The sequence below is a fragment of the Homo sapiens genome, chromosome 4, assembly GCF_000001405.40.
Source record: "Homo sapiens chromosome 4, GRCh38.p14 Primary Assembly".
NCBI lineage: Eukaryota > Metazoa > Chordata > Mammalia > Primates > Hominidae > Homo > Homo sapiens.
In genome coordinates this window covers 33,944,126-33,960,160 of record NC_000004.12, presented here as the reverse complement: position 1 = coordinate 33,960,160, position 16,035 = coordinate 33,944,126, and the positions used below count along the sequence as shown (strand labels likewise).

At 37.1% G+C, this 16,035-nt stretch overlaps 1 long non-coding RNA gene across 1 annotated transcript in view; it reads left to right on the top strand.

Moving 5' to 3' along the window:
* LOC101928622 (uncharacterized) overlaps window positions 1-16,035 on the top strand; it is a 143,555-nt gene that overhangs the window by 79,733 nt on the left and 47,787 nt on the right. The window contains exon 4 of the long non-coding RNA NR_125902.1: window positions 12,637-12,752. This is a non-coding gene — a long non-coding RNA (uncharacterized LOC101928622). The remainder of the gene's footprint in view (window positions 1-12,636; window positions 12,753-16,035) is intronic.

Genomic DNA, 16,035 nt, shown 5'->3' with positions numbered 1-16,035 from the left:
GGGTACGTGTTCAGAATATGCAGGTTCGTTACATTCATGGGTAAATGTGTGCTATGGTGGTTTGCTGCACAGATCAATCCATCACTTGCTGCATAATATTCCATGGTGTGTATGTATCACATTTTCTTTATCCAGTCTATCATTGATGCGCATTTGGGTTGGTTCCATGTTTTTGCTATTGTGAATAGTGTTGCAATGAACATACATGTGTATGTTTCTTTATAATATAGTGATTTATATTCCTTTCGGTATATACCCAGTAATGGGATTGCTGGGTGAAATTGTATTTCTGCCTCTAGGTCTTTGAAGAATTGCCTCCCTGTCTTCCACAATGGTTGAATTGGTTTACACTCCCACCAAAAGTATAAAAGCATTCCTTTTTCGCCACAGCCGTGACAGCATCTGTTGTTTTTGGACTGTTTAATATTTGCCATCCTTTCTGGGGTGAGATATTATCTCATTGTGGTTTTGATTTGCATTTCTCTAATGATCAGTAATGTTGAGCTTCTTTTGAGAAGTGTCTCTTCATCTCCTTTGCCAACATTTTAATGGGGTTGTTTTCTTGTAAATTTGTTTAAGTTCCCTGTAGACCAGATATTAGGCCTTTGTCAGATAGATAGATTACAAAAATGTTCTCGTTCTGTAGGTAGTCTGTTCACTCTGATGGTAGTTTTCTTTTGCTGTGCAGAAACTCTTCAGTTAATTAGATCCCATTTGTCAAACTTGCTTTTGTTGCAATTGCTTTCATAACATCTTTAGTGAAGGATTGGAAGCAATCAGATATCTAACAATAGAGCATTCGTGTATCACCTAGTATATATGATAAGAAGTCAGTATACTGATGTGGAAGATTTTAAGCATTTTAGATTATAAGGACCATAATGGAAGTATTATTGGTCATTATATCCTGTGACTTCAGCCAATTAAGTATTTTCCTTGAACCTCAGTTTCCTGAGTTTTAAAAAATAAGATAATAGTTTTGATGTGAGGATTAATAATGTTAACGAGCTTCAAAAATCTGACAAAAACTGTATACATATAAATCACTTTAATTTAATAATTTAACAAAACTAAGAATGATGTAATGTTGAGAGAAAATATTTTTAAATGAAGGCTTGGTTTGGTTGAATTATTTAAATACTATGAGAATATGAGAGTAAAAGAAATATATATATACACACACACACCCCTATATACAAAATGAAAATTACATTAATTTTATACCATTGGTTCTAGAAAATACAGATTATTGGCTCCAGGTAGGGAGATTATGGGTAATTAATTTTCTTTTATCATCTTCTAAACTTATCAAATAATATTATTTGAATAATATAAAATAAGTTTCTTATAATATTATGAGGGAAGTGGTCAAAGTGGCCAACTAGAAGCAGCTAGCGTGCATTGCTCTCACAGAGAGGAGCAGAAGGGGCGAGTAACTATGATACCTTCAACTGAAGCATTTAGGTACTCACATTGGGACTAATCAAGAAAACAACTTGACCCAAGGAGAATGAAGAAGAGATAGGACAACGACCCACCTGGGAGCAAAATGGAGCCAGGAGAACCTCCTCTGCCCTGGGAAGTGGTGAGTGGATGAGCGGTCTTGGGAAACCACACTTCTCACATGAATCTTTGCAACCCTTGGGACAGGAGATCTTCTTGTGAACCTACTCCACCAGGGCTTTCGGTCTGACAGACAGAGTTATGTGGAGTCTCGACAGAGCAGTCAGTCAGGCATGTGTGGGAAAACTGGACCTTTAGATACTTGGTCTTTCCAGCAAAAGTAGCTGTAGCTCCAGCAAAGTGGGAGGTTAGACCCCTTATATATCCTTAGGAAAGAGGCTGAATCTACTGAGTGATTTCTGACCTGCATGTTTCTGGAGTGAAGCCCCGAGGAGACAAGCAAATGACCCTCTTCCACAGCCACTACTAAGATCTATTCCTCTGCTGCCTCTAAGCTGAGGAAGGGACATAAACACTGAGATCACTTCAGAGCTGCAGTGGACAGCCCAGGTGTACCAAGTCGTGAACTACAGCCAGCACTCAAGGAGGAGAGGAACCCACACTTTCAGAGCATTGAGAGGGAACAAGGCTGCAACAGTGAGGAAACCTAGGGGAGCCACATAACCAAGCAAGAGTTTACCAACTTACCAATAAGCCTGAGGGCCTCCTGCTGGATCATACCCAAAGCTTCAACACCAAAAACCTCACTAAGATACCCCTCTCTGAAACCAGAGACAAGCAGCCAGCTTCAAATAAAGGCCCTGCAGAAAGGCTTGGCCTAGTGAAAATACCCAAAAAAATTTATTGACTGTATTCAATCTATTTTGCAGTTAAAGGAATACCCACATGCAGAGATGAAAAAAAAAAATAATGCAAGAACTCCAGTAACTCAAATGCCCAGAGTGTCATATGTTCTCCAAATGACCACACTAGTTCTCAGACAACAGTTCTTAACCAGACCAAACTGGCTGGAATGACAGACATAGAACTCAGAATATGGACAGGAACAAAGATCGTCGAGATTCAGGAGGATGGCAAAACCCTATCCAAGGAGAATAAGAATCACAATAAAGTGACACAAGAGCTGGAGGCCAATATAGCAGGTATAAAAAAGTACTTAATGGGTCTGACAGAGCTGAATAACACAATACAAGAATTTCCCAATACAATCACAAGTATTAACAGTAGAATAAGCCAGGCTGAGGGAGAGATCTTAGAACTCAAAGACTGGTTTTCTGAAATAAGACAGTCAGACAAAATAAAGACAAAAGAACAAAAGGGAATGAACAAAACTTTTGTGAAGTATGAGATTAGATAAAGAGGCCAAATCTACCAATCATTGGCATCCCTGAATGGGAGGGGGAGAAAGCAAACATCTTGGAAAACATTTCAGGATATCTTCCATGCAAACTTCTCCAAACTTGCTAGAGAGGCCAACAAATTCAAGAAATACACAGAACTTCTGCCAGATTCTACACAAGAAAATCATCCCCAAAACACATAATCATCAGATTTTTCAAGGTTGAAATGAAAGAAAGAATGTTAAAGGCAACTAGAGAGAATGGGCAGGTCACCTACAAAAGGAACCCCATCAGGCTAATAGCGAGGTTGTGGAGAAAAGGGAACACTAATACACTGCTTGTGGGAGTATATATTTGTTCAACCATTGTGGAAAGCAGTATGGCAATATGGCAATTCCTCAAAGAGCTAAAAGCAGAACTATCATTCAACTCAGCAATCCGATTACTGGGCATATACCCAGACGAATATAAATCATTCTACCATAAAGACACATGTATTTGAACCCTCGTTGCAGCACTATTCACAATAGCAAAGACATGGAATGAACCTAAATGCCCATCAATGACAGATTGGATTAAGAAAATATAGTACATATATATTGTGGATGGAATACTATGCAGCCATAAAAAAGAATGAGATCATGTCTTTTGTGAATGGACCTGGAGGCTATTATCCTTAGCAAACTAATGCAGAAACAGAAAATCAAATACTGTACGTTCTCACTTATAAGTGGGAGCTAAATGATAACAACTTATGAACATAAAAGAGGAAACAACACACAGTGCCGTCTACTTGAGCAGGGAGGGTGGGAGGAGAGAGTGGAGCAGAAAAATATAACTATTGGGTACTGAGCCCTGTGACCCAAAACACCTCGACTGGCTCAGTGATCTGGGTGCAGAAGGCTTAGAACCAGCGTAGTCAGGCGGGCCTGCTCCCAGGGTGCATGCCGAAGGGGGACTCACTGGATTGTGGGAGCACAATCCATGGGTGGGCTTAATACATGGGTGATGAAATAATATGTGCCAAAAAACCCTGTGACACATGTTTAGCTATGGAGCAAATCTTCACCTGTACCCCAAAACCTAAAATAAAAGTTTAAAAATTATGTAAGAATCTCAGATATTTGTTATTAATAATTATTTATCCTTTTATAATATAGGCCTCCCCCAATTCTTTGACTTAATGTGATATTTATTGCCACTGTTGATTGTACTATGTAGGAATAATTTCTTAGAACATGAAATGCTTTTATTACAGTGCTTTAAAAAAATAGAGGGTTAAAACATTTTATAAACCATATAAATACAATTATAAAGAGAGAAAAAAACTACATAAAAATATACCAGTTTTTTAATAAAAGAAATAATCTTGAGGAAACCAGGCAAGATGGTCAACCAGACATAGCCAGAAAACACCTCTTCCAGCAAGAGGAACCAAAACGCCAAATAAACCATCACACCTCCAACAGACCTTTTGAGAGAAAACACGGAAAGCCGATAGAGGCGACACAGATGCTGGGGTTGAAGAGAGAATAAGCTGGGAAGCCTGCTTGGAGTAACAGGGCCACTAGGATTGCCCCCCAGTTCCTGAACCCAATGAAGGAGTGAGTGAGAAAACCTGGGGTAATAGTACCCCCACGGACCTCTGGTATCCTAGCTATAGGATAAGCTCCCACAACCCCCATAGACCTTTGAACTTGGAGGGGGGCGCTGCCTGGAAAGCAGGTAGATGTGCAGCTTGAACCCTCATGGAGCCCAGAAGGTTTTGCTGTGCAGTACAGCTGTGGCAAAACACAAGCATAGATGCCCATTCCCCAAGCTTCTGCATTTTGGACTGAGTGGTTGAAGCTCCTTTTGTCTGCTGGGCTTGGAGGGAACGGGGCTGCCATTGCTATGGGACTCAAGCATATCTGATCCACATGCCCCCTTGCCTGCTGGTCCCTCCCAAGACAACCTGCCTTTTGACTCCTACAGGATGGTGCCCACAGCACAGCCTTCACTGCCCCATGTGTGTCTTCTTAGCAGTGTGGGAGTAGTTTGCCCCTCAGCACAGCCAGTGCTCGACCTTGAGGGGCCAGAGAACAAATCCATAGGCCTGGTCTCAACTCCCTAGGATTCAAGTACATGGCCCAGAGATATCCAGTTGAGATCTGTAGCTTGAACATGACGAGGAGATGAGTCCCACTCTCAGAACAGAGAGGAGTACAGCGCGAGTTTATGTGCCAGCAGGGGAGCTGGGCATTCCTCCCTTTCCAAGACAAGTCTGGGAAGGGTGTGGCCTGATAGCCAGCCTCAGCTTCTTTCCCAGGGAGCCCCGTGACCCAGAACGCCTCGACTGGCCCAGTGATCTGAATGCAGAAGGCTTGGGACCAGCCTAGCCAGTCGGGCCTGCTCCTAGGGTGCATGCCGAAAGGAGACCCACTGGACTGTGGGAGCACAAGCTGGGCAGGCCCACAGCTGTCTGCCAGGATGAAAACCCAGGGCTGTGGGTGCCATATCTGTTGCACATCCACAGTCCCACCGCGCTGCCCTGGGATCCTCCATCCTTGACCCACTGCCTCACCAAACCACCTGCAAACATATCTCACAATTCGCTCTTACTCTAACAAGCACAGGAGACCAGCAGGCCCCGGAGAGTTGTGGGTCTCCTATGACCTAACCTCCGAAGGGAGATGAGAGTGCAAGCTGCCAAAGCCTCCCTTGGGGCAAAGAAAATGCTGGCACAGAGCTAGTAGTTGAAGGGGACTCCACCAAGGACAGGGAATGAACTTGGAGAGAGAGTCATCTTTTGCCCAACTGCCTCCCCTCCGCAGAGCCCTGCTGTGTCTGTACTGAAATACAAAAGGGGTGCACGACTAAGAGCCTATTTGCTTTCTCTTACTGTTAAACACCACCTACTGGAATGCAGCCGGAATTATACCAAAAATTGCTTCCGCAAGCAAAGCCTATGAAACCCATTGCAGAAACCTATCTCTCTTCACTGGCTATAAACTTAAATGTAAAACCTTAATCTATAAAAATCCTCAATCCCAGCACTTTGGGAGGCCAAGGCGGGCAGATCACCTGAAGTCAGGAGTTCGAGACCAGCCTGGCCAACACGGTGAAAGCCCACCTCTCTAAAAATACAAAAATTAGCTGGGTATGGTGGCGAGCACCTGTAATCCCAGCTACTCTGGATGCTGAGGCAGGAGAATCGCTAGAACCCGGGAGGCAGAGGTTGCAGTGAGCTATCGTGCCACTGCACTCCAGCCTGGGTGACAGAGAAAGACTCCATCTCAAATAAATAAATAAATAAATAAATAAATAAATAAATAAATAAATAAATAAAAAAAAATAAAAATAAAAATCCTCAAAGAAAACCTAGGAAATTTCCTTCTGGACATTGGCCTTGGGAAATAATTTATAACTAGTTTCTCAAAAGCAATTGCAACAAAAACAAAAATTGACACATGGCACCTAACTAAACTAAAGAGCTTCTGCACAGCAAAATAATCTATCAACAGAGTGAACAGAGAGAAAATCTTTACAAACTATGCATCTGACAGAGATCTAATATCCAGAATCTACAGGAATCTATAAGGAACTTAAACAAATCAATAAGAATATAAAAGATAACCAAATTAAAAAATGGACAAAAGAGAAGGACAGATGGACAGACTTCTCAGAAGAGGACGTACAAGCAGCTAACAAATATAAGAAAAAAAGATGCAGTATCACTAATCATCAGAAAAATGCTAATCAAAACCACAATGATATAGCATCTCACAGCAGTCAGAATGGCCATTATTAAAAAGTAAAAAATAAAAAATTTGAGCAGTTGTTGGCGAGGCTGCAGAGAAAGAGGATGCTTATGCCCTGTTGATGGGAATGTAAATCAGTTCAGCCACTGTGGAAAGCAGTTTGGAGAATTCACAAATAACTCAAAATAGAACTATCATTCAACCCAGCAATCCTGTCACTGGGTATATACCTAAAGGAAACTAAATCATTCTGTCAAAAAGACACATGCCCTCGTATGGTCTTCACAGCACTATTCATAATTGCAAAGACAAAGAATCAATGTATTTGCCCATCATTGGTGGATTGGGTAAAGAAAATGTGATACATATATACCATGGAATACTATACAGACATGCAAAAAGAAAGAAATCATATTCTCTGAAGCAAAGTAGATTCAGCTGGAGTCAATCATCCTAAGCGAATTAATGCAGAAACATAAAATAAAATATCACGTTCTTGCTTATAAGTGGGAGCTAAATCTTGGGTACCTATGGACATGAAGAGGGAAACAGTAGACACTAAGGATTCAAAAAGGAGAGAGGGAGAGAAGGGGATAAGGCCTGAAAAACTTCCTATTGTGTACTATGTTCACTATTTGATAGGATCAATAGAAATACCAATCTCAGCATCACACACTATACCACTGCAACAAAATTGCACATGTAGCACCTGAATCTAAAATAAAAATTGAAATTAGAAAAAAAAATCACTAAAGTTGATTCTGAAAATCAAAATCTTGTTTGGATTGTGAATATTTTCTCTACATGCTACTATTCTACAGATTCTGAATACTCTATAATTAACATGTACTACTGTATAATTTAAAAGTAGTCACAATACATTTTCTAAAGTAAGAAAGAAAAAATATTTTAAAGTGATTAGTGCCAATAGAGTAACATTTCTCCATTTCTAGTAGTGTTTACATTACTTTTTTTCACTGTAATTCATAGTAAAAATTCAAAATTCAAAATTTTAAATTATCCAAAAATGAGTAAAGCTTTACATTTAAGGTCATGACACTGAAAAAATCCTTGTAATAAAACTTCATATTATAGAAATGAAGGTCCAACATTGATAATTTTCCGTAGTGTGTGGAGAAAGTTTAGTTGTTTTGCTTTTGTTTGTGTTGAGAAGAAGGTTGATAGGAAGAAAGTAGCAAAGGCTTCACTGAACCTCAGGATTTAAACATACTCTCTAATTTTACCAGAACAAAGTACCTAAGGTAGAAGACATGATCATATGAAACATCTTTAGCTATTGAAATGGAGCTTACTCTCTTCTCATCAAACTTTAATTTCAAAACAGAAAAAAATTATTAAATCAGGTGTAAATACATGTTTCTCAGAAAATGCATAAAAAATGGAGAAAAATTTTCCTCAAGTTTTAGTCCACCTTCAAGAGTCATCCTTTTGCTCAATTGCTGTAATCCTAAAGCTCTTTTAAGTTTTATTTGACTGAATTCTTAATATGCTGAAACCTGAAATTTCTAAGCATTCAAAGCATGGTTGCTTCTGATTTTTTCATTAGTGCCAATATAAAGTGCTTCCCATCAGAGCCCATGAGATTTTATCAGTACTAATCTGCTGTTTCTTCCCTGATGTTTCCGAACTATTGAAAGCTCCTAATTTGTGATAATTAACCTCCTGAGAATAGCGTTTCTCATTTAACCCAGGGAGCAGCCACATCTCTCTGTGCTCAGCTTTGCAACCTCCCAGACAGGTCTTTTTTGGTCTGTATTTCAGGCATCAGGTAAATTATCCACTAATAAACACTGAGGGTTTTTGTAGTGAAAGCCAAAATCATATGGACAGCACCTGTCATGTGGAGCACCAGTTTTCTGTGGTGGTCAAGAACAAATGGCCCAGTTTTTGTTCTTGATTCTTCTTAATGAATATGTGATGTTAAGACAGTTATATAATCTTTCTAGCCTCAGTTTCTCTACATGTAACACTTTCAGGTTACTGTGAGAACTAAGGGACTTAATGTGTATAAAATGTGTAAAATGCTTAGCACCTAAAACACCACCATAATAAGCTCTAGATAGTGGTGCTATCATTATGATAACAAAATTTCATTTTGAAACTGCAGATATGGATAAAATTGGTTTGAAAAAGAAAAGAGGGAAATAATTAATGTAAGAACTGAATAAATTATTTCTCAATATGAAAAAATGTTTTTGAAGATGAAAATCAAAAGTGGGTTCAGAGAATCAGGGACAAGAAGAGAAAAAAAATTTCTTATTCACAATCTTAAAGAAAGCATAGAATATCTAGCATGCTTTAATATAAATATTAAGCTGCTTAATAAGTTCATTAATATTGTCACTCCCTCCAGTTAGAACAAATTTTAGACTACGTATAATTGGCATACAAATATCAAATGGTAACATACATACATGGTTATATATATAATATTCACATTATTGTCAAATTATATATTATAATTAATGAAATATTATAGTTACCATTTCTGTGAGTTGTATCAACTAAATGATTTCACTAAATTTCAGGTGGATCCATGTTGAGTCAAATGACAAGTTGGTAACTTTTTTTTTTAAGATTCACAGCAAAACCTTAGTGAAAGGTAGCAAGATTTCCCATATACCCCTGCCCCACATACATTTATTATAATTGATTAACCTGCGCTGACACATCATTATCACCTGAAGTTCATAGTTTAAATTAAGGTTCACTGTTGGTGTTTTAAATTCTATGGGATTTTTAAAAATATAAAACTCCTGCATGTACAACACGTAAAAGAAAAGCATATTTTGCTGAGACCAAAGGTCAAGGATCGAGCCACCTCTGCTATCTCTGATCCCAGAAGTGACTCCTGGTGCTTCAGGAAATCTTCCAACTATGGCATCAGTTTTAAAAACACTCTTGTAAGACAAAGTACTGTATTTTGAATGAGACGTGTCTGGATATGGCATATCTATATCTCTAGCTCTGTGACTTTGAGTAACTTTAAATTTTCATATTTCACCTTCTGTATTTCCAAAATAGAAATCATACTTAAACCTCACAGGTTTCTGGGAAGGATTTAAATGAGGGACCATATAGGTGACATTTACCGTAACACCTGGCACAAGCAGTAATTCAGTAAATCCTAGATGTCTCTAAGCTTTCTAAATCTTACTTTGAGACTAATGTGATTAATGCCATCTCTATTTTCTCCATAGAACAATGGTGAAATATATCACAAAGCTGGATTAAGAAGTTTTAAAAAACATACAAGTTAGCAATATTTATTATTATTACTACTATCAACAGAGATCATGAAGCACCCCAAAGCGCAGTCTCAAAAGCAGGTTAATTTTGGCATGAGGTAGATCTGCTAATAAATCTCACGTAATTTTCTGAAAAATTATTGATATTAACAGTTACTATTAACTAGTTAGTAGCCATTAATATCAATATATCCTCTAAAAATCTTATCAAATATCTTAAAATCATAGGACAAATTTATTCATATATTAAAATTAATGGCTTTTAAAAAATGGTCAACACAGGCCAGGCGCGGTGGCTCATGCCTGTAATCCCAACACTTTGGGAGGCCAAGGCGGGCGGATCATGAGGTCAGGAGATCAAGACCTTCCTGGCTAACACGGTGAAACCCCATCTCTACTAAAAAATACAAAAAATTAGGCGGGTGTGGTAGCAGGCGCCTGTAGTCCCAGCTACTCGGGAGGCTGAGGCAAGAGAATGGCGTGAACCCGGGAGGCAGAGCTTGCAGTGAGCCCAGATCACACCACTGCACTCCAGCCTGGGCGACAGAGAGAGACTCCGTCTCAAAACAAAAACAACAAACAAAAAAAAAACTGGTCAACACATTTAATACATCCTGAGACAGATCACCATAGAATTAATTTAATAAAAATATTTGGGAAAAGTGTGTAGAATAGAAAGGAGCCTAGGATGTGTTCTTGAGAAGCTCCAGCACCTGGAGGACACTCAGGAGAAGAGTCAATAAAAAGACACCGGAATGACTGAGTGGAAGGCATGGTCATATAAGAGAGATTCTAGGGAAACGGGGTTTACAAAGAATGGAATGATAGTTGTAGTTTCATCCTTTCATCCGTTATATATTAAGCAGCTATTATATCTCATGTGCTTAAGATTCAACAGTGAGCAAGATAAGATCTTTGTGCTAAAGAAACTTACAATTTAGTGAATCAAGTGAAGATTGTTAACACGGAAATGGATAGAAGAAATGTCCACTGAAATAGGCAATTAGGCACACATATCCGAATTTTGTTTAACAAATGTGTAAAATCATTAATTAAACACATTTTTTAAACTGAATGCCTGTTATTTTCCAGGCACTGTTCTAAGTGGGAAACCACAATAAACAAAACAAAATTTCAACAAAGGCCCAAAGCAGGTGGTGCTAGACATGTTGAAAGCATCTGAATTGCTGGGATATAGAAAGTGAGGAAAGAAATCATAGAAGCTGAGGTCACAGAGATAAAGGGTCAGGGTACAGATTGTGAAAGATCATACTGTTACTTAAAATTTCTTAATATTTACCCATTACCTAGTAAATGCACTAATCCAGTTCCTAAGTTTAGCTTGCAAGACCATGCTGGACTGGCCCAATATAATTTTTAATTGATGTCCCACTGTATCACACAGGACACTGTATATTCCAGTGATAGCAATGTTTATATTTTTGCCTCTGTTCTTGCTTTTGCTTATTTTTTCAGATTGTTTTTCCTTTTGAAATAATCTCCCTTTCTGTCCTCAAATCATTTTCCTTAGGAAACTATCTTAGAATTCAAACAGGGTAATAAGATTTAAAATACCATCCAGACATTCTTCTTTCCTACTAAACAATAAGTTCTTTTAGATATGTGATAATGTTTTTTTTCATCTTTACATTCACAATATACTATGGGTTGTTAATTTTATGTTTCAACATGTCTAGGCCATAGGAATAACTGGTTGATCTGTGAGGGATAACTGATGTATCTGTGAGGGTGTTTCTGGAAGAGATTAGCATCTGAATCAGTAGACTAAATAAAGAATATCTGCCTTCACCAAGGTGGGCAGGCATTATCTAATCCATTGAAGACACGAATAAAACAGAAAGGTAGAGGAAGATTGAATTAAGTCAGCCTGACAGAATGAACTGGAACATCAATCTTCTCCTGCCCTTGGCACTGCTGGTTCTCTGACCAGACTGGAATCTATGCCATCTATATCATTAGCTCTCCAGCTCTCAGGCCTTTGAACCACACAACTAGCTTTCTTGAGTCTCCAGCTTGCAGACAGCATAATATGGGAAATCTCAGCCTCAAATACCATGTGTGTAAATATCTTATAATAAAATTATTTCTATATATTTATATAATATATATAAGGTTATATATATGGTTTTATATCTATATGAGGTTATATATAAATTTTACTCTCCTATTGGTTCTGTTTTATCTTGGATATACATGGCATCTGACCCACAGTAGGTATTTAACATAACTCTGACCAAAACTGCATGCCAAAATTAGTTATCAAGAAACACAATTTTTAATTAATAAGCTTTATTTTTAGAACAATTTTAGGTTCACAGCAAAATTGAACAGAAAGTGCACAGTGTTGTCATATACCCCCTTTCTCTACAGACTCACAACATGCCCCTCCATCAATATTCCACACCAGAGTGGTACATTTGTTACAAATTATGAACGTACATTGACATACAATCATCATCCAGAGTTCATAGTTTACATTAGGGCTCACTCTTGCTGTTGTACATCCTTTGGGTATTGACAAATGTATAATGGTGTATATCCACTCCAGTATCATACAGAATAGTATCACTCTCTGAAAATTATCTATGTCTGTCCATTCATCTATCTCTCTCTCCTAACCCCTGGCAAACAACCATTTTATTGCCTCCATAGTTTTACCTGTTTTAGAATGTTGTATTGCTGGATCATATAGTATGTAGTCTTTTATGATTACCTTCTTCCACTTAGTAATATGCATTTATATCTACTTCATGTCCTGTCATGGCTTAATAGCTTTTTTTTTTTTTTTTTTTTTTTTTTTAGTGCCGAATAATATTTCATTTTCTGGATATACCTCACTTTATCTACTTGCTACAGAAGGGCATCCTGCTTACTTTAAAGTTTTGGCAATTAGGAATAAAGCTGCTATAAGCATCCAGGTAAAGGTATTTATGTGAACATAAGTTTTTAATTCACTTGAGTAAATATCAAGAACCATTATTGTTCTATCATATCGTAAGAGTATTTTTAGTTTTGTAAGAAACGCCAAAGTGTCTTTCAAAGTGGCTGTATCATTTTGTAGTCCCTCCAGCAGTGAATGAAAGTTCCTCTTGCTCCACACCCTCACCAGCATTTGATGTTGTCAGTGTTTTGAATTTTGATTATTCTAATTGCTGTATAGTAGAATCTCGATGTTGTTTTAATTTAAAATTCCCTAAAGACATAAGGTGTTGAACATCTTTTCAGATGCTTACTTTTAACTGTATGTCTTTTCTGGCAAGCTGTCTGCTTGTCTTTTGCCCCCTTTTAATGGGATTGTTTGTTATCTTGTTGTTGAGTTTTAAGAGTTCTTTGTATATTTTGTATAACAGCTTTTTATCCTATGTGTCTTTTGCAAATATTTTCTTCAAGTCTGTGGGTTTCCTTCTCATTTTGTTGAAAAAAAACATATATTTTTAAATAAAGAAGATAGATAGAAACACTTTGATGATTAATGAAATTCTTGATAATTATATCTGAGTTATTAAATACTTATTAATTTTAATGACATTTTACATTGTTTACATGTGTTAACTTTCTTAAACTTCAAAAATAAAATAATTGGAAAAGGGAGCAATATACATGTTCATCTTTAGCACCATAAGAAAGAAATTCAAAAGGAAGATAGAGAGCAAAGCTAAAGCTAAAACTTTAAGCAACGAAACTTCTGTCTTTAATTTAACTGCATACAATTTTCAATCAGGAACTTATCTTAGTACTTCATAAACATACTAAATTAGGAAAGAGATGAATGTATATCTGAAAACAAAATAATGCATCATTTTACTGAGAGAGTTTACACAGCTTCAAAGAGCAGATGTTTTGGTTCTATCAAACTGTAGTTGACAAATTTGCTAGCAGTGGGAGTGGAAAATTAGTTTTCATTTTTAGAAATTATTTGATACCATTTACAGACCTTTGCTATTTATCACACTGATTAAAAGCTGTCATTTGCAGCATTTATAGTCTTCAAGTGCATGTCAAAACTGTTTCTATCCAACTCAAATATTCTTCTGAAGGGATATATTAAACCAAACCAGGGTATATATCTTTTCCTTTCTTAAGCAATACATCAAAACTAAGCAGTAAGGTACATTCTAATATTGTATTTAGAATTTCACTGATTAAATCTGGAGAGATGTTTATCTAATACTTACAAACTTGGAAACAACTTTAGACCCAAAGATAAATATAAATAGGTAAGAAATACTGCCTTGGAATGTCATGATAAAATGGCTACAATTTCCATAAAAGCAACAATATCTCAAATCCATTTATCCCATGAGAAAAAAAACTTCATATCATAAAAAGCAAGATAATTCATTGAAGCTTATAAACTGGTAGGTGAAATTTTGTAAGGATTTCTCATGATCACTCAGGGGTTTCTTATATGGATACTGGAAAAATCCATGGAAGGAAAGTCCCCACTCCCCCTCAGGTATTTAATCTCACAGGATTTGCCATCAGCTGAACCATGCATGCACATTTATTTTAGATAGAAACTTTCGAAAAAGTGTATATTTTAAATATGGTTTTTTTCCCCCAATTAACTAAATAACTCTCATTTTGAGGAACGGGTCTGTACCCAGATACTTTTGAATACATTATAAGGTCAGGTATAGTGGCTCATGCACTTTGGGAGGCTAAAGCACGCAGATTACTTGGGGCCAAGAGTTCAAGACCAACCTGGCCAACATGACAAAATCCAGTCTCTACTAAAAATACAAAAATTAGCTGGGCATAGTGGTGCATGTTGGTAATCCCAGCTAGTTGGGAGGCTGAGGCACAAGAATCGCTTGAACCCGGGAGGCAGAATTTGCAGTGACCAGAGATGGTGCCACTGCACTGCAGCCTGGATGACAGAGCAAGACTCCATCTCAAAATAATAATTATGAAGTGAGAGGATCATTTGAGCCAGGAAGACAGAGGTTGGGTTGCAGTGAGCCAAGATCGTGATACTGCATTCCAGCCCGGGTGACAGAGTAAACTCCTGTCTGGAAAATACCTCTGTATGTCTCAGAATTAATAGTTCAAGGGTGTTCAAATAAATTTAAAACACGTCTTCCTTAATCTTTGATTAATAAGACTCAAGTGTTCACCCCAGTCTTGCCCTGGCATTGTCCTTCATTATAGAACATGTAGCTTTCAAAATATGCTATGAGAAAGATGACTAATATGGACTTCAGTAAACTTAAATCAGGGAATATTAAGGACTATAATTTTAATATAAAATTATGAATTACAGTAAAGTCTTGCTGACATATACAAACGTATACATAGCTTTTATGCATGATATATGTAAGTATGTGTATATTTGTATGTTTGTACATCCACATTTAATTTTGTTACAAGATTTGGGCTTGTGTTAGATGAATTTGGGAGAGTTCAAACAATAGTTTTTGAGGGAAAGGGAAATTTTATATATTTTGATGTAAATTTTATTTAGAATATAATATAATGAATAGGATATTACTACTTGCTGTTATCCTTCAGGAAATATTTATACTCAAGTCATTTTAAAAATATCAACCTGTTTCAGGATCTGCATCACAATATTCAAAACTACTTTCATTCAAAGACAGTATGGTAGATAACTTGGTACAGGCTAACTGAAAACAGCTTCTTGCTTATTTATTCAAGAATTAGCCTATGAGTTAGACCGAGTAAATAAGTGAATGCAAAGAGCCAAATGCTACATGTCAATAAAGCTTTGACTCTTAGGAAATTTATATCCCTGAGTAATGCTGGGTTCAGGGACACAGTTGTATCTCTAGATATCTTTAGGATAGATGCATATAGGCTAACTGCATAGATGTGCTCATGTGAGCTCTTTGCCTTATCTCTATAATTTTTCTACTTATTCATTCTTTCTGGGGTATAGGCAGGGCAATGCTCTCTTCTGCTTTAACTTGATTTTTAAATGTTTTTATACATAAACTTATTTGTTCATAAGCCCTTATTTGTTCATAACCACTAGCCTGCAGAATAGGAAAAGTACATATGTGTGTGTATATATATGTATAAGTGAATTGGTGAGTATATATACACGCACACATATTCGCACACAAATACATATGTAAATGTATGCTTATTACAGAGACACATAGACACACAAACACAAACAGTCATATATATACAAATATATAAATATATTGCTTTGAGTAACCATCGTTATGCAGTCAA